The following is a 19,900-nucleotide window of genomic DNA, read 5'->3' as shown; positions in this document are numbered from 1 at the left end:
TTTAAATATAAAACAGTTAAAAATTGAGTTTTCTGCAAAACTTAAGTAATATTATTAAATATAGGTTATTCATTACATATATTTGGAAATATTATTTTTCTAATTACCTAGCATAGCACTGTTCTTCCAATCTGTAAGTAAGCAATTTCATATCATAAATCATGGATGGGCAGAAAACAAATGTTGAAAATAACCTCAATAAGGAATTTGATATTTTATTTATATGTGACATATAAAGCATTTACAATATAGTATCTAAAATTTACAAAGGTAAGAAAATATTATAAACAGTTCAGAATAAGACTGATCTGATTCTTTTCTTTGGATTTTTTTTTAAACTAAAAGAAAATTTTAACTTCTACATCCAGGTAAGATGGAGTAACAGGAACTAGATTTACTCTCCACCCAAAACGAATTGAACAAAATCAGCAGTGAAGGACAGGTGAGCCCTCCAACTGCCCCAGCTTACAGCTAAATGGTTTCTCTGAGAAGAAGAGGCAAAGCTGTCAGCAGGAGGAGGTCAAAGTGACTAGGGACCCCAGGGCAGAGTACTAAAGGGAAGAAAGTTGCACAGAGAAAGAAAAACCTCCAGGGAGCTACAAGAATCCCCACTGAGTATTCAGCTGAGTATTGATACGTGTATATATGAGGAAATCATCTGAGGCTGGGGAAAGAACCATTTGAAAAGAATAGAGGCAATAGTTCCTAAAACCCACACATGGCTAGCAAGAGGTACCATCAGCCACAGTAGAAAACCTGGTAATTCATGGGTACTGCCTTAATAGTAGGAAAACATAAGCCCTCCAGTAAAGACTGTGCTTGTCTGTTTAACAAAAGTTAAAAGTAAACCACAAAAGGATCAAACTGTTTCTAAGTAACTTAACCAAGTGCCGAACAAAGCTCAAGTACATTCATAGAAATATTAAAATATCCAGCAACTTCACAATGTCTGGCATGCAACAGAAAATAACCAGGAATGCAAGGAACTAAGAAATTATGATCCATAATGAAAAGAAAAATCAATAGAAACAGAATCAGAAATGACAAAGAAGACAGAACTAGCAGACAAAGACATTTAAAAGTTATAATTATATTCCATATGATCCATCCAGACACAGAAGACAATAAAAATGGAAAAATCTAGAGATGAAAAACATACTGAGCGGAATTAAACATTTGCTAAGACTTTGGGGGAGGAGTTGGATAGACATGAGAATCAGTACTTCAGTTTTTGAGACAGAGTCTCACTCTGTCGCCCAGGCTGGAGTGCAGTGGCGCAATCTCGGCTCCCCGCAAGCTCCGCCTCCCGGTTTTACGCCATTCTCCTGCCTCAGCCTCCCTGTACTTCAGTTTTAAATGTGTTAAGTTTGCAATGTGATTCATCAAAGTAGACATATTAATCTGAAACTCAGAAAACAGACCTGGGTTGAATGCACAAGGTACAGGCAATTTTAAAAACCTTATTTTGAAATAATTTCAGATATTCAAAAAAGCTGTTAAAATAATAGTTTCTGTATACTCATCAACAAATGTTAACGTTTTGTAGAACCACAGCAGAATTACTGAAATCTGTAGCCCTTACTCAAATTTCACCAATGTCCTTTTTTGATCTAGGACACAATACAGGATCCCATAGTGCATTTAGTTGTCATGTCTTCTTATTCCTCTCCATCCTGAGACAGTTCATTAGTTTTCCTTCTTTGCCCCGTGATCTTGCCAGTATTGGCCAGTTATTTTGTAGTGTATTCCTTAATCTGAGTTTGTCTGATGTTTACTCATGATTAGGTTGAGGTTATGTATCTTGGTGTCCTTCTCAATGCATCCTATTGGGAAGTACTGGATGTCTCATTATTGGTGATGTTAACTTTGATCACTCAATTAAGGTGGCATCTATCAGACATCTTGTCACCACACTTATGCTCACTTAGCATCCATAGATGATTTTTTGAATTGTCCCCTCACCCACTTATTATTGTGATGTTTGCCAATGTTGATTTTCATTTCCATCATTCCTCCTACATTCATTAACTAGAATTCTACTATAGGAAAAATCAGTCCTTTCTCCCTACCAAGTATTTGAGTTTTTAATTGTTTATTTGTACCAGTATTCGCTTATATTTATTTTATTCTATAAGTTTTAATCCACTATTATTATTTATTCTGAAGCTCAAATTGTTCCAGATTTGGTAATTTGAAGTCCCTTTACATTGGCTTCAATGTCCTTTTTACATATCCCCATTATTTTTTAGCACTTTCTTACTTTTTGAGACCCCAAGATGCTCCAGACTCATCTCATATTTTCCCTGCCCAAGTCCTGAAATAAGCTACTGCTAAAAAGGAGTCCAGGTTCTTTTACTGAAGCTGCACTAATGCTGTAGTCATTAGCCATGTGTGGTTTTTTACATTTAATTAAAATTAAATAAAATTAAACTTCAGCTCTTTGGTCACATTAGCTGTATTTCAAGTTTTCAATATCCACACATGGCTAGTGGCTACTGTTTTGGACAGTGAAGATACAAAGCATTTTCCACATCACAGAAAAATCTACTGGAGAGTGCTGACTGGAGAATTGCAAACACACACACACACACACACACACACACACGCACACACACACTCATACACACTCCTACCACTATTTTTCCCTAGAGAAGTCTGCCTTCAAAGGAGAGCAGAGGAATGGGAATGATAAAAAGGACTGGGGTATGGGTGGGCAGAGATGAGGTCTGGGGAGGCATGCCTTTTAGGACAGAGATACTAGACCATGTTTATTTGTGGTGAGAACCATGTAGGAGAGAAGGTAAAGCTGACAAAACAAGAAAAAGAAGGCATAACTGAAGGAGCAAAACTCATTAAGTAGAGGAAATAAATGGAATCCAGAGCTCAGATGGAAGAATTCAATGTCAAGAAAAGGAGTACCTCCTCTGCTCTAAGGACAAAATTATGGATGCAAATTAGGTTTATAGATTTGGATTCAGGAAGATGTAAGCAATTTCCAGGCTGTGGTGGTAGAGAATCTTATAGCTGTATTAGAGAAGCACAGTTAAATTCCAGGGCAGATATAAGTGCCCATGTGAGGCCTGTGATGATAAATTTAAAGTGAAATCAGCCTACATGATTTTCTCCAGCTATATTCATGTGCAGATTGAACACAGAGGAAGAGGTCATTTTCAATTAGAGTTTTTCCAGATAAATAAGAATGATGAGAACAATAGGGGAGTTTACGGAACCTGCGAGAAAATGACTACAGCAATAGGTCACGGAAAAAGATGTAGAAAGAAGTGAAAACAGGAACACAGTGAAGATCAATGGATGGCAGGGAGGTCTCACTAAAGTTCAAAAAATGTTGTAGTGGGGACTTTCTAGGTCTGGAGGATAATAGTAACTACTAGGATATGAATCTTCCCATACATTACTCCCCCAAAACCAAAGTCCAGCAAGAAGCACAAAGAAAGCCATATGTGAAACCATGCCTTTAGCAATACTAAAAAACAGAGAATGTCATGAATTTCAGAATATCTATAAGGATGAGAAATCAACAATAAATTCCATAAAGCTACCACTGGAACTCTGCTGCTACAAGACAGTGAGTATGGAGAGCAAAAGCTTAAGAAACTTTGAAAAAAAGAATAAATGGAAAAACCTAGAAGAAATGGATAAATTCCTGGACATATACAACCTACCAAGATTGAACCATGAAAAAATCCAAAACCTGAAGAGACCAATAACAAGTAATGAAATTGAAGCCACAGTAAAAAGTCTTGCAGCAAAGAAAAGCCTGGGACCTGATGGCTTCACTGCTGAATTCTACCAAATATTTCAAGAAGAACTAATACCAATCCTACTCAGCTAGTCCAAAAAATAGAGAGGGGAACACTTCCAAATTCATCCTATGAGGCCAGTGTTACCCTGATACCAAACCAGAGAGAGATACATCAAAAAAAGAAAACTATAGGCCAATATCCCTGATGAACCTTGATGCAAAAATCTTCAACAAAATATGAGCAAACCCAATTCGACAACACGTTAAAAAGATCATTCATCATGACCAAGTGGGATTTGTCTCAGGGATGCAAGGATGGTTCAATATGTGCAAATTAATCAGTGTGACACATCATATCAACAGAATGAAGGGCAAGAACCATATGATCATTTCAACTGATGCCAAAAAGTATTTGACAAAATTCAACAGTCCTTCATAATAATAAAACCCTCAAAAAATAGGTACAGAAGGATCAAACCTCAACACAATAAAAGCCATATAGTACATATCCATAGCTAGTATCATACTGAATGGGGAACAACTGAAAGTCTTTTCTCTAAGATCTGGAACATGACAAGGATGCCCACTTTCACCACTGTTATTCAAGTCCTAGCTAGAGCAATCAGACAAGAGATAGAAATAAAGGCATCCAAACTGGAAAGAAAGAAGTAAAATCATCCTTGTTCACAGATGATATGATCTTATTTGGAAAAAACCTAAAGACTCCACCAAAAAACTATTAGAACTGATAAACAAATTTAGTAAAGTGGCAGGATTCAAAATTAACACAACAAAAATCAGTGGGGTTTCTGTATGCCAACAGTGAACAATTTGAAAAATAAATCAAGAAAGTAATACTGCTTACACAATAGCTACAAATAAAACAAAATAGCTAGGAATTAACCACAGAAGTGAAAGACATCTATAATGAAAACTGTAAAACACTGATGCAGGAAATTGAAGAGGACACTCAAAAATGGAAAGATATTCCAAGTTCATGGACTGGAAGAATCAATGTTGTTAAAATGTCCATACTACCTAAAGCAATCTACAGATTCAATGCAATCCCTACTGAAATACCAATGTCATTCTTCACAGAAATAGAAAAAAAAAATCCCAAAATTTATATGAAACCACAAAAGACCCAGAATAACCAAAGCTATCCTGAGCAAAAAGAACAAAACTGGAAGAATCACAATTATCTGATTTCAAATTATACTACAGAGCTATAATAATCAAAACAGCATTGTACTGGCATAAAAACAGACACATAGACCAACAGATCATTACAGAGAACCTAGAAACAAATCCGTACATCTACAGTGAACTCATTTTTAATAAAGGTGCCAAGAACATACACTGGGGAAAGGACAGTTTCTTCAATAAATGGTGCTGGGAAAAATAGATATCCATATGCAGAAGAATGAAACTAAACCCGTATCTCTCACCATATTAAAAAAATCAAATAAAAATGGATTAAAGGCTTAAATCTAGACCACAGACTATGAAATTACTACAAGAAAACATTGGGAAACTCTCCAGGACATTGGACTAGACAAAGATTTCTTGCATAATGGTTGCCACAAGCACACAAGCACAGGCAACCAAAGCGAAAATAGACAAATGGGATCACACCAAGTTAAAAAGCTTCTACACAACAAAGGAAGGATCAACAAAGTGAAGAGACAACCCACAGAATGGGAGAATATTTGCTAACTAACCATCTGAGAACGGATTAATAACCAGAATATGTAAGGAGGTCAAACAACTCTACGGGAAAAGAATATAATAATCTGATTTAAAAATGAGCAAAAGATCTGAATAAATATTTCTCAAAAGAAGACATACAAATGGCAAACAAATTTATGAAAAGGTGCTCAACATCACTGATCATCAGAGAAGTGTAAATCAAAACTACAATGAAATTATAATTTTTCTCCAGTTAAAATGGCTTTTATCCAAAAGACATGCGTAACAAATATTGGTGAGGATATGGAGAAAAGGGAACCCTTGTACACTGCTGGTGGCAATGTAAATTAATAAAACCACTATGGAGAACAGTTTGGAGGTTCCTCAAAAAACTAAAAATAGAGCTACCACATGATCCAGCAATCCCACTAAAGAAAGGGAATCAGTATATTGAAGAGGTATCTGCGCTCTCATGGTTACTGTGGCACTATTCACAATAGTCAAGAATTGGAAGCAATCTAAGTGTCCATCAACAGGCGAACTGATAAAGAAAATGTGGTATATATACATAATGGAGTACTTTTCAGTCACAAAAAAGAATCAGGTCCTGTCATTCAAAATAACAGGGATGGAACTGGAGATCATTACGTTAAGTGAAATAAACCAGGCACAGAAAGACAAACCTCGTATGGTCTCACTTGTGGGAGCTAAAAACTCAAACAATTGAACTCATGATAACAGAGAGTAGAACAAAGTTTTCCAGGGGCTGGGACGGGAAGTGAGGGTACAAAAATATAGTTAGATATAATGGATAAGATCTCGTATTTAACAGCATAAGAAGGTGACTACAGACAACAATAATTTATTATACATTTAAAAATAACTAAAAGAGGGCCAGGCTTGGTGGCTCATGCCTGTAATCCCAGCACTTTGGGAGGCTGAGGTGGGCACATCACGAGGTCAAGAGTTCGAGACCAGCCTGACCAACATGATGAAACCCCAACTCTACTAAAAATACAAAAATTAGCCAGGTCTGGTGGTGCACACCTGTAATCCCAGCTACTCGGAGGCTGAGGCAGGAGAATCACTTGAACCCAGGAGGTGGAGGTCGTGTCACTGCACCCCAGCCTGGTCGACAGAGTGAGACTCCATCTCAAAAAAAAAAAAAAAAAAAAAGTATGTAGTACCTCCCCACTCTCTCTCCTGTTCCTGCTCCTGCCATGTAGGACACCTGCTCCCGCTTGGTGTTTGTTATGATTGGAAGCTTCCTGAGGCCTCCCCAGAAGCAGATGCTGCCATGCTTCCTGTACAGCCTGCAGAACCATGAGTGAATTAAACTTCTTTATAAATTACCCAGTCTCAGGTATTTCTTTATAGCAATGTGAGAATGGACTAACACAAGACACTAACACCAAGATGACATGATTGTTATGATTATGTGACATGGATCTGAAAGCAGCCATCATAAAAATAATTCAATGAGCAATTTCTTTTTAACTTAAGTTCAGGGGTACATGTGCAGGTCTGTTATATAGGCAAACTTGTGTCACAAGGGTTTGTTGTACAGATTATTTTGTCACTTAGGTATTAAGGCTAGCACCCATTAGTTATTGTTCCTGATCCTCTCCCTCCTCCTACTCTCCACCCTCTGGTAGGCCCTAACGTCTGTTGTTCTTCTCTATGTGTCCATGCATTCTCATCATTTAGCTCCCACTATAAGTGAGCACGTGCAGTATTTGGTTTCATTTTCTGTTTCTGCGTTAGTCTGCTAAGGATAATGGCCTTCAGCTCCGCCTATGTTCCTGCAAAGGATATGATCTCTTTCTTTTTTACGGCTAGTATTCCATGGCATGTATGTACTGCATTTTCTTTATCCAGTCTGCGATTGATGGCCATTTAAGTTGATTCCATGTCTTTGCTATTGTGAATAATGCAATGAACAATTATGAATATGTTTGAAACAAAAAAACAAGAAAGTCTCTGCAAAAGAAACTCTCACCAAAGGAAAAAAGTTATAAAGAAGAATCAAATATAAATTTTAGAACTTAAAAATATAAATAACCAAAATAAAAAACTCAACAGATAAGCTAAACAGAAGAATGAAGAAGACAGAGGAAAGAATCAGTGAACTTGAAGACATAACAATAGAAATCACCCAATTTGAACAACAGAGGGAAAATAGACTGGGGGGAAAAGCAAAGGACAAAGCCTCAGGGGGACCTCTGGGACTGTAAAAAAAAGACCTAACATTTGTGCCACTGGCGTTCTGAAAGAAGAAGAGAAAGATAGCAGAGGTGATAAAGAATTAATAGAAGAAATAATGGTTGAAAATTCCCCAAATCTGGCAAAAGACATAAATATACATAGTCAAGAAGCTGAGCGAACCCCAAACAGGATAAATTAAATAAATCTATTCCAGGATACATCACAATCAAGCTAAAACATATAGAAATCTAAAGGCAGGCTGGGCGTGGTGGCTTACACCTATAACCCCAGGACTTTGGGAGGCCAAGGCAGAAGGATCACTTCAGGCCAGGAGTTCGAGAGCAGCCTGGCCAATATGGCGAAACCCTGTTTCTACTAAAAATGTAAAAATTAGCTGGGCATGGTGGTGCATGCCTGTAATTCCAGCTACTTAGGAGGCTGAGGCATGAAAATCGCTTGAATCCGGGAGGCAGAGGTTGCAGTGAGCTGAGATCACACCAATGCACTCCAGCCTGAGTGACAGAACTAGACTCCATATCAAAAAAAAAAAAAAAAAGAAAAAAGAAAGAAAGAAAGAAAAAAGAAAAGAAATCTAAAGGCAAAGAACAACCTTAAAAGAAGCCAGAGAAAAACGGTGTGTTACCTATAGGGAAAAACAATTTGAATGACAATGAACTTCACATCAGAAACCATCGAGGACACAAGGAAGTGGTACATTTTCAAATGTGGAAAGAAAAGAACTGTCCACTCAGAATTCTATATCTAGTATAATTATCTTTTACAAATGAAGAGGAAATCAAGACCTTCTGAGATGAAGGAAAACCAAGAGAATGTATCACCAAGAGACTTACTCTAAAAGAATGTTAAGAGGAAACTCTATACACTTAATCACAGAAGGAATCGTGAAACATCAGAAAGGAAAAAAATAACATGGAAAGGGCAAAAATGTGGGTAGAGACAACAGACTTACACTTTCCTTTTCCTCTAACTCTTTTCAACTGTGTTAGATGGCTGAAGCAAAAATTATAACATTGTTTGATGTGGTTCTCAATATATGTAGACAAAATATTTAAGACAAAGTATATTACAAATGGGGGAGGGTAAAGGGATTTAAAGAAAGGTAAAGTACATACATTTTATTCTAATTGGTAAAATGTTGACATCAGTACATTATGATTAGTTATGCATGTATAATGTAATACCTAGAGCAACCACTAAAAAAAAATCTATACAAAGAGACCATAGATTTTTTAAAAACACAATATAAATAAATCAAAATGGAATTCTAAAAAGTGTTCAAGTAACCCACAGGAAAAAGAAAACAGAAAACTATAAAATAGGAGACAAACAGAAAACAAACAAAAAATGGCATATTTAAGCCTAATATTCAATAATTACATTAAAAATAAATGGAAAAAACTCACCAAAAAAAGACAGAGATTGGCAAAAATGATTTTTTTAAAAAAGTGACCCAACTATATTCTGTCTACAAAAAACTACACACAGTCATTCAGATAGATCTGAGTAAAAAAAGCCAATCTCAAAAGGTCACATATTATAAGATTCCATTCACATAACATTCTTGAAATGACAAAATTATAGATATAAAGACAGATTAGAGGTTGCCAAGGGTTAGAAGAGAGGAGTGGTTATGACTATAAAGCTATGGGATGAGAGATATCTTTATGGTGACAGAAGAGTTTCGTATCTTGGTGGTGGTAGTTACACAAATCAACACACATGATAAAATGATCTATAACTATATACATACATTATGCCAATGTAAATTTCCTGGTTTTGGTATTGTGCTATAGTCATGCAAGATGTACCCACTGAGGGAAAAAGAATGAAGGGTACACAGGACCTCTCTGTACTATCCTTACAACTTTCTGTAAATCTGTAATTATTTCAAAATTTTAAAGTTGGGGGAAAAAAATCAAACTGCCAGCCTCCAACACTTCCTGTGTGAAATTAGGCTTATTTAACCAATATGGGCATCAGTTTTGTCATCTGCAAAATGAGGATAACAGTATCTACCAAATTATGGCAAGAAACAAATAACACACCAAAAAGGAAATGATATACGTACAGTGTGGATGAATCTCAAAAGCATTATGCTAAGTGAAAGACAGCAGACACAAAAAAGACATATCATATACTTTTGTTCAAATAACACTTTGGAAAAGGCAAAAACTGTAGGGACAGAAATCAGATCATGGTTGCTTGGAGCTGGGTGTGGGGAGAGGGAACTGAACTACACACATCTCTGAGTAACGCCTTTTGTTATAGTTTTGATTTTTGAAATCATGCAAATATTCTATTCAAAAATAAAATTAAGCCTAGAAGGATGGGGGAAAAAACTTAAATTGGGGGGAAGGGGCACAAAAAAACCCTTAAATTGAATGCAAACAAACCAAACCAACCAAACTAACTATATTTCAAATGACTATTATAATTAAACTGAAGCAGGGGAGGGAGGAGTGGAAGACCTAATCCAGATACTTTCACCATATGCTCTCAGTTGGTCTACAGAGTCAGTCTGTGGAGAAAAAGCTGCAAACAGATCTTGAACTATTTTTAGTAGGTAAATCCAAATTGAGAAACATTAAAAAAAAAAAAACTGGTTTATATTCTTAAAAAATGTTAATACAATCAAAGAAAAGCAAAAAACTATTCCATGTTAAAGGAGATTAAAGAGACATGTCAACTAAACATAAAACATAATCTTGGAGCAGATCCTTTCTTAGAAGGAAAAAAACGCCTTAATAGACATCATTGGGACAGTTAACAAAAGTGGAATATAATAACTGCAGATTAAAATATTAGAAAATAACTATAGATTTTTAAAAAGTATTGTAACAATGTTAAACTTCCTGAATTTGGTAACTGTACTGGAGTTATTTAAGATAATATTCCTTATTCTTAGGAAATACATACTGATATATTAAGAGTCATACATATGCAATCTTCTTTCAAAGAGGTCAGAAAAAATTAATGAAATAAATATTATATATAGTAGCAAACAGACATATTTATATACAGATAGAATACCTCAAAGGAGCTGGGGTTCACAATTGATGAGAATAAGTTACAGTCTGGAGCAGCAATAGGAGAGTAATATCTACTCTACTCCCTGACCTTACAATATGTGGACATGATAGAAAAACAAAGCCTCTAACTGAGAAGGCTGTGAAACTGCTGTACTTTGTGGGATATTCAGATGTCAACTAATGCAAAAATAGAGGAAAACACCCAGAAGAAGTGAAGGTTATCTGGCAGTCTATTGATATCACAGAGTAAGGGTTTGGAGGGGAGGAAAAGAGTAGGGGATTGGGCTACAACAGATTTCCAGAACAGCCAGGAGATTAGAGTCTGGGTGGTAAAAAATGACTTGAGGGTGGAAGAGGTAAAAAGGAATTCAAAGTAGGTGGGAATCAATACTGGTCATCTCTGAGTGGGCATTAGTTCTAGCTCCAAAGTCTCTAAAGCTCTGCTCTGTGGTATGACAATTTCTAGAGGACCTTCTTTGGGAAGCCTTTCCAATTCTCCACTGCCAGAGAGTTAGACACCCTTATCCTTAATGCCCATATATATCATTTAACCCATATTCAATAAATATTAGTTGAATAAATTAATGACTCACCATAACCTGAGTAGACTATGAGAAAATTAAATTGAAAATCAACTTCACAAAAGGAATGACATAGCAGAATTTCATTTTTGAAAAAAGTTTCTGAAGTTAAAACAAGGAGTTGGCTTAAAATCGAAAGAATACAAAATGGAGAATTATTTCTAGTTGATTTTGGTTAAAAAAAATGCTTACTGTACAACAAGCTGCTGGCATACAGTTCCATTCTCCGTTATCAGTTCATTCAGTTTTAATTCAAGGTGAACTTTACCCTATAATGACAAAAAGATTACAAACTGAGTAGTCTATTTTACTGACAAAATATTAAAGGTATGTGCCTTTTCAAATCACCACAGTATTTATCCACTGACCACTAGCACATGGCTTTGCCTACACTAAGTACTTGTTAAATGAATAATAACCAAAACCAGAGATCAAAGTTCTGAAAGATATGAAACAAATACTTATGTCAAACATGGTATTCAAATTTAAGAATTTTATGTCCAATTCAATAAATATTTATATATCTAATTATCACAGACTAAAAGGAAAGACAATACCTAAATTTAAGGAAATTTTGAGATAAAACCAAATTATAAAATGTAGGATGCTTTTTCCAGAAGATAAACCAGCATTAAGGACAGAAGCAGTCTCATTAAAAGACAGAGAAATCATACAATTCTAAAACAACTAAAAACTAAGTTACAGCCAATAAAACTCAATTTGTCACTACTTACTTTGATCAAACAATAAAGATTTATGGAATGTCTACTATGTTTCAGAAGGCACTGTGGGAGTGGGTAGGAATCCATAGATGTTAAAGATGTAAGTCACTGCTTACAAGCAGCGTACAATCTAGTTGGGAAGACAATAAACAAAAGATAACATATGGCCAAGAGTCTTGATGGAAAGATGGGACACTGAAAATAAAGGAGTACTTTCTTAAAGAGATATTAATAGACGAATTTTTAAAAATTAAGTAGTGTAAGTTCAAAAGAATTCAAACAATCAACTTCTCAAGAAATAAAGGCTTAGGAACAATATAATCTAGAGCTTGATATTTCTAACCTGCCGCTGGTGATGAGCAATTCTGCGCTAACAATTCTAAACTGGTTAAGAAACAGTACTGGATTACCTCCCTCCAGCTGACAAGACAAATTCTCACATTGCCATGTGGAGATTTCAGGGGAGTGATGTCTAGGGACTGATGACGTGAGTGATTTCATTAGAGGTAGGAAAGTTCATTATCTAGTCACTGTTCCTCTTTAGAACAACCCTTTTCAAAAATTCTTTCACAGAAACCTAACCTGAAACACCCTCACTATTTTAAGGGGACTTATACAAGAATGAATCTGAGGTCCACCAGGTACAAAGCTCAGGGTTAGATGAATAGTAAGAGATGAGCAAAAAATACTGATGGATCTTAAAACAGAAGTCTGCCTGAGAAAGCTAAGGTCTAAAGGAGCAAACACATCTGTGGTAGAAAAATTAATAGCAGTTACGTGGAGCTGGAACTAAATTAAGCAAATCTTCCACTAAAAATCTAGGCACAAATATTCATAAAATCATATATAATTTGTAAACTAGGTCTTTCATTATTCCTGCATTTAGTATTTACAATCTCTACTATTCAAGGGTGATCTTGAAGGTCCATGATCTGTAATTTGTAATATTACTCAACTAGAATTTTGAAATCATATTTTCTGTTGTGACAGCATGTATGTATTACTTGGCTAGCAAGGGAGCCAAGCCAACGGCACAAAAATTTGCAGTTTTACAATTTTAACATATATACATTTTATTACAGAAATCGTATGCTAACACAACTGTCTCTCAGGAAATGTCTGGGATCTATTCCAGTTCTAAGAAATAAAAACTATGACAATAGAGTAGAAAAAGATAATCATTTTGTTTACAACTAAAATCATAGTATTATAGCAAGTCAAAAGGATATTTAATGAGATTCTGCCAGAAATCATTATTATTGAGTCAGAGCCTACCTAATATGTTCATTACTCCCACTGACTGGTAAATAAAACATTCCTTAGGTATTAATCAACAATAACACAATTATATATTAACCAGGTCAAGAAAAGTGTGAGGACAGAACAGGCAGACACAAAACACATACTGTTAGGGTGGAACACTAAATTAAAAGGCATTATGAGTTAAATTAAGGAAATTATAATTTCTAAACTGTAAAACACTAACTCATTATATACTTTAACAAGGAAATACATACTATCCTTAGCAAAAGAAATAAATCACAAAATAGGGTACATACTATAATGTTAACTTATAAAAATAAAAAACATATATGTATAAAATTACAAGATCATCTACCAAAATGTTGATAGAAGATACCTTTGGTTGGTGAAATTTCAGAAGATTTTCTTTGCTTTTTTGCTCTAGATTTTAAAAGTTCATACTACCAATTTAATTTTCAGATTTTAAAAGTATATACTACCAATTTAATTTTCAAAGTTTTTACTACTACTGTGTTGTTCTTAGTAAAGAAAAATAAAGTTTTAAATTATTTAAAACTGCTTTTCAGTTTTAGAAACTCAAATCAGTGAACATTTTAGAATACTTTTTAGTCTCTTTTCACACAAAAGTTCAGTTTTACTTATATCTGTAATCATTTAATAGATTTGAATTGCAGCAAAACAAGTTTGTGTGTGTGTGTGTGTGTGTGTGTGTGTGTTTTGTTTTTTGATGGGGCAGTTATGAGCCCAGCAAACTGACATTCTGTAGCCTCCCTTGAGATCAGGGATAGCCATATGATGTAGTTCTGGCCAACAAGATAGAAACAGCAGTTGCTGGCAGGGAATCATACTTCTTCTCTAGAGGAAATATACCATTCAGGCCCTCAAATTATCTCCAATATATTTTATATTTTATTCTCCAGCATTCCATTAAAAATTACAGAATATGCCAGAAGATCAAAAACCAAGAGAAAAAATGAGGAAAGCAGTGGACTTACAAGAGACGCAGATATTGGAATTGACAGAATTTAAAATTGCTTTTTTTTTCTTTGAGACAGAGTCTAGCTCTGTCACGCAGGCCAGAGTGCAGTGGCGTGATCTCAGCTCACTGCAACCTCTGCCTCCCGGGTTCAAGCGATTCTCCTGCCTCAGCCTCCCGAGTAGCTGGGACTACAGGCATGTGCCACCACGCCCGGCTAATTTTTGTATTTTTAGTAGAGACACGGTTTCACCATGTTGGCCAGGCTGGTCTTGAACTTCTGACCTCAAGTAATTTTCCCGCCTTGGCCTCCCAAAGTGCTGGGATTACAGGTGTGAGCCACTGCATCCAGCCTAAAATAGCTATTTTTTAAAAGACATAAAACAAAATGAAAAATCCAGCAGATACCTGGAAACTATAAAATGAATGAAATAAAAAAGTTAGAACTAAGCAATAAACCAAAATGAAAATGTATTTAGTAGCAGAGTAGCCACAGCTGAAAAGAGGACTGGTGAAATGGGAGACAGGTCAGTAGAAAATATCCACAATGAAGCACAGAGAGGGAAAAAGCATAGGAGACATATGAGACATGGTGAAATGGCCTATTATTCATGTAACTGGAGTCACAGCAGAGAAGAGAAAAAAAGAACAGGGCAGAAAAAAAAAGGAGATAAGATAATTGCCTGGAATTTTCCAAAACTGATAGAAGACAAGCCACAGATTCAAGAACTCCTAGGGACAAATAAGAAAAATAAAGAACCTACGAAGAAGTAACATTAAGAATCCAACAAGGAGGCTGGGCGCAGTGGCTCATGCCTGTAATCCCAGCACTTTGGGAGGCCAAGGCAGGCAGATCACCTGAGGTCAGCAGTTTGAGACCAGCCTGACCAACACGGAGAAACCCCGTCTCTACTAAAAATACAAAATTAGCCGGGTGTGGCAGCGCATGCCTGTAATCCCAGCTATTCGGGAGGCTGAGGCAGGAGAATCACTTGAACCCAGGAGGCAGAGGTTGTGGTGAACTGAGATCACACCATTGCACTCCAGCAGAACTCCATCTCAAAAAAAAAAAAAAAAAAGAATCTAACAAGGTACTATGTTTGATAATAAACATGTAATGTGATTTGGTCTACAACTGCATTCTTATTATTCAATCTCCTAAAGGAAGCTCAATGACAGTATACTTTTCATGTATGTCAGAAAATGTTGGAAGATCAGATACCTTGCACTGTATTATACGTCTTTAATAAAAAATAAACCAAATTCTTGGAAGGTATTGCTCTATATGACTTCCATAGCACTGACTATGTTAGGCTGATACATGCAGTTATAATATCACATTATCTTATATTAAGGGGCATTCTGAGGAACTTACACTACTCTCGTACTGATATGGTTTGGCTGTGTCCCCACCAAATGTCAACTTGAATTGTATCTCCCAGAATTCCCATGTGTTGTGGGAGGAACCCGGGGGGAGGTCATTGAATCATGGGGGCCAGTCTTTCCTGTGCTATTCTCGTAATAGTGAATAAGTCTCACAAGATCTGATGGGTTTATCAGGGGTTTCCGCTTTTGCTTCTCTCTCATTTTCTTTTGCCACTGCCATGTAAGAAGTGCCTTTCACCTCCTGCCATGATTCTGACGCCTCCCCAGTCATGTGGAACTATAAGTCCAATTAAACCTCTTTTTCTTTCCAGTCTTGGATATGTCTTTATCAGCAGCGTGAAAATGGGCTAATACAGGTACTATTTGAAGATTTAGTATTTTATACGCTAACTTTATTTCAATTAATTTTACAAAAATTTCACACAAAAATATCTGTGATTATTTCAATTGTGTATTACATATATTCTTGGTACCATATAGAAGATACTGTGTAAATTTCTGCATACAGTTTGGGAAAATAAGATGAACAGAGGTTGATATGGCTTGAATGTTTGTCCCTCCAAATCTCATGATGAAATGTGATCCCCAGTGTTGGAGGTGGGGCCTAGTGGGAGGTGTCAGATCATGGGGGTAGATCCCTCATGAATGGCTGAGTGCCACCCCCTTGGTGATAAGTGCGTCTTGCTTAGTTAGTTCATGTGAGATCTAGTTGTTTAAGAGTCTGGGACTTCTGCCTTCTGTCTCTTGCTCCCTCTCTCATCATGTAATATGCCTGCTCCCCGTTTACCTTCCACCATGATTGTAAGCTTCCTGAAGCACTCACCAGAAGCAGATGCCAGCACCATACTTCCTGTACAGCCTGCAGAAGAACTGTAAGCCAAAATAAACCTCTTTCCTTTATAAATTACTCAGCCTTAGATGTTCCTTTATAGCAACACAAAAATGGACTAATATAGAGGTATTTGAGCAAAACATAATACATGCACTTAAAATCCTCTCAAGTCTAAACTTTATTTTGTTTTTATCACAAAACACTAAATTTTAACAACCATTTCCATATAAAATAACTCAGTATGTTTCAACTGGTAAAAAATGTTTTTACAGGCATACCTTGGAAATACTGTCTAAGGGTCCAGACCACTTCAATAAAGCAAATATCTAAACAGAAAGTCACAAAAATTTTTTGGTTTTCTAGTGTATATAAGTTACATTTATACTATATTGCAGTCTATTAAGTGTGCAATATGTCTTAAATAACAATATACATATTTTAATTTAAAAATATGTTATTGCTAAAAAAGGCTGTCATAGAGAAATGAGGTGAGCATATGATGTCGGAAAAATGAGGCAGATAGATTTGCTTGACACAGGGTTGTCACAAACCTGCAATTTGTAAAAAATGCAGTATCTGTGAAGCACGACACAGTGAAGTACAATGAAAGAAGGTATGCCTGTACATGAGGTGAAAAATATCCCAACTTCGGAGTTTCTGATGGATGTTTTAATACGTAGAAATTACCTCTATAAATGATTTTGGACACAATCGCCCATCAGATGAAAAAGCAAAATACAAATTTTATTTAATATCTCTTATATTAATGGCAGTTCTTTATGAAGGTGTTGTTTTCTCCTTAAAGAAGTATTTAATATGATCTAGAATGGCTCATTATTAATTCACATAAAAATTTAAAATGAAGTTAAAAAAAATCAACCTGCAATAATGAATTATGTTTTTACATTTGTTATGTCTTGAATAGGGCATGTTTTAAAAATCCTCATGTATTTATTATTAGCTATAATCATTGCATTTCTTTTTAAATGTCTTTTTAAACAGGTAAGGCAGAGGTCTTTAAAAAAAAAAACACCTATAAAACAATCAATAACTTATGGCATGATCCAGAAATTCAAGATATGCTTGTTGGTAAAGACCTATTAACTAAGTAATTGCATCATATAGGACATGGTTGATAGCACATCTGGATTTACTGCTTGGACAAGTTGTGTGAGACAAACTCCTTAATTAATGAGAGCAGCAAATTCTCCATATGGGAGATTTGGTTTAATCACTCTTTTTCCCCCCCCTATAAAGATGGGGTCTTGCTATGTTGCCCAAGCTGGTCTCAAACTTCTGGGCTCAAGCAATCTGTCTGCCTCAACCTTTCAAAGTGCTGGGACTACAGTGGGCCACCATACCCGGCCTGGTTAATCAACCATATGTAAAGTATGCTTTTTATCACTGTGCCTAAGAAATAAAGAAAGGATAAATACCTAATGTTCCTGGTGAGTTACAGGACCTAATAACTAATAGCACGGCTGTAGTTCACTGAAGCCAAAAGAGGATTTATAGAAGGCACCAGCACAACCCATATTAACTTCACATATGTGGCAAAGAATATTGAGAAAGAATACCAAATGAAATAGATGATAACTAGGACCATAAACAGGATCAGAAACTAAGGAAAAGAATGCTTCAAAATGGAGGGAGTGGTCACCAGTATCAAAAGCTGCTCAAAGATCAAGTAAGATGAGGACTGAAAAATGTCCACTAGACTTATTGACACAATGTCATTGGTAAAAAGAACCATTTCTGCTCTCTCTCTGACCCACTGCAGAGTCTGAAAGCAGATTAGAATAGGTTGAGGAAAAAAATGGTTCAGCCCAGAAGGAAAAATTACAAAAGGTAGAATCAAGCCAAAATCTAAATACAAAAAAAAAGTAGAAAAATACACTCATGAAATGTTACTAACAATATTTTGAACTACTGAAGATGAAACTGAAAAGAACTATTAACATTATTGACAAGTATAACAGTATCAGCAATAATAAAAAATTATCTCTGGGAGACAATTCAAGGTAAGAGGTTATAGTTCTAAACAATTTTTCAACTGTTTTGGCATAAAGCCCATCTTAATACTACTGGGATCCTTCCACTGGAAAGCTAAATTACATTTCTGCATGTTATTTCCCTAGAACTTCACAACTAAGGGAACCCTTTGCGCTGACATTATCATTTCATAGATGAAGATCCTCAGGTAACAGGCTTGCGATTATTTGGGGCACAAATGCTAATTAGTGGTAGAACTAGGAAACAAGCATCTCTCCCTCTGAGGTAGCAATGCCATTCATTTCCTCTACTCAAACCCCTTCCTTAGGGAACATGCCTACTCAAAGCCCTAAAGTGGACTGCCTTACAGTGAATTTTCCTCCAACCATATCAAATTAGATTGAAGTAGACATCTGACCCAAGTTTAGCCAAACTTTCTCTCTAGATTGTGGCAGAAAACTGAGTCAGATGTTGGAGGTGAGGAAGCTGTATGGTCACATGGACTCAAAAATTGGTGTGGCGTCTTTTAGGTCTCAAAAAGAGACTGGAGTAGATTTACAGAGAAGCAGAGGAAGAGACATGTCTCATCATACATACAAAAAGAATACAATGGCATCTCAAAATGGTGTTTTTTTCTTTCCTTTATATTTTGCAAAGCAAATAGTTATTAAAATGAGAGGGAAAGACTGAGAGAAAACATTATTCACTTCATGAAAGGGAAAGAAAAAAAACAATATTTAAACAGTGAGAACTTATGCTCAATAAGCACAGTGAACATAGGAATATAAGAAATGATTAGTGGGTCTCAGTTTCCATGTGCCACTTGCAGTATCTATTGCTGTACTGAGTCAGGGCAGGGGGGAGGTCTACAGTTTAAAGATACAGTATATAGTTTTCATTTACCATGGCCCAGAATGCAAGCCAATTATTTTATGCGGTAGTCAACCAAAAACAAACAAACCACCCAAATACCTTAGTGTATTTTATAAGAAACTAAACTCTTTTCAAAAATAATTGTAACTTACGCAAAAATTTTTAACTTTTCATTTTGTATACTCATTTTACAGATGAACTTAGGCAAATTTTAATGTCTGTTGTTCTAAGAATCTAGCCTCCACTTAAGATGCATCTCCTCTGCAAATGCCTGACAACTTTCTAGCTCACACTGGCAATGTAAAGTTCCTATGATGACATTCCAAGAAACTCTTTAGGAGCTTTCCAATGGCCTCTCCCATTTTCTTTGAGCAAATCTGAGCAGGCTTCTCTTCCTTACACTCAGATGTTACTTAAGTGATACTCCTAATCTATTTTTTTTAATGACTAATAGTACAGAATGGTGAAAGGTAGTAAAGGCACTGTGGTTAGGAGTTTTAGAATCAGACAGATCTCTTTTGGAATCAAGGCTCCACTACTTAGTAGTTCTGTGACTCTGGAGAAGACA

At 35.9% G+C, this 19,900-nt stretch overlaps 1 protein-coding gene across 6 annotated transcripts in view; it reads right to left on the bottom strand.

Annotated features, from left to right (window-relative positions):
• Positions 1–19,900, bottom strand: part of RASA2 (RAS p21 protein activator 2) — a 128,318-nt gene that overhangs the window by 63,255 nt on the left and 45,163 nt on the right. For all 6 annotated transcript variants that reach the window (NM_001303245.3, NM_001303246.3, NM_006506.5 and 3 more), the window contains one exon: positions 11,481–11,557. In NM_001303245.3, coding sequence (NP_001290174.1) covers positions 11,481–11,557 — 77 coding nt within the window. The remainder of the gene's footprint in view (positions 1–11,480; positions 11,558–19,900) is intronic.

This window comes from Homo sapiens, chromosome 3 (genome assembly GCF_000001405.40).
Source record: "Homo sapiens chromosome 3, GRCh38.p14 Primary Assembly".
Classification (NCBI taxonomy): Eukaryota; Metazoa; Chordata; class Mammalia; order Primates; family Hominidae; genus Homo; species Homo sapiens.
This window is presented reverse-complemented; position numbering and strand designations above follow the sequence as displayed.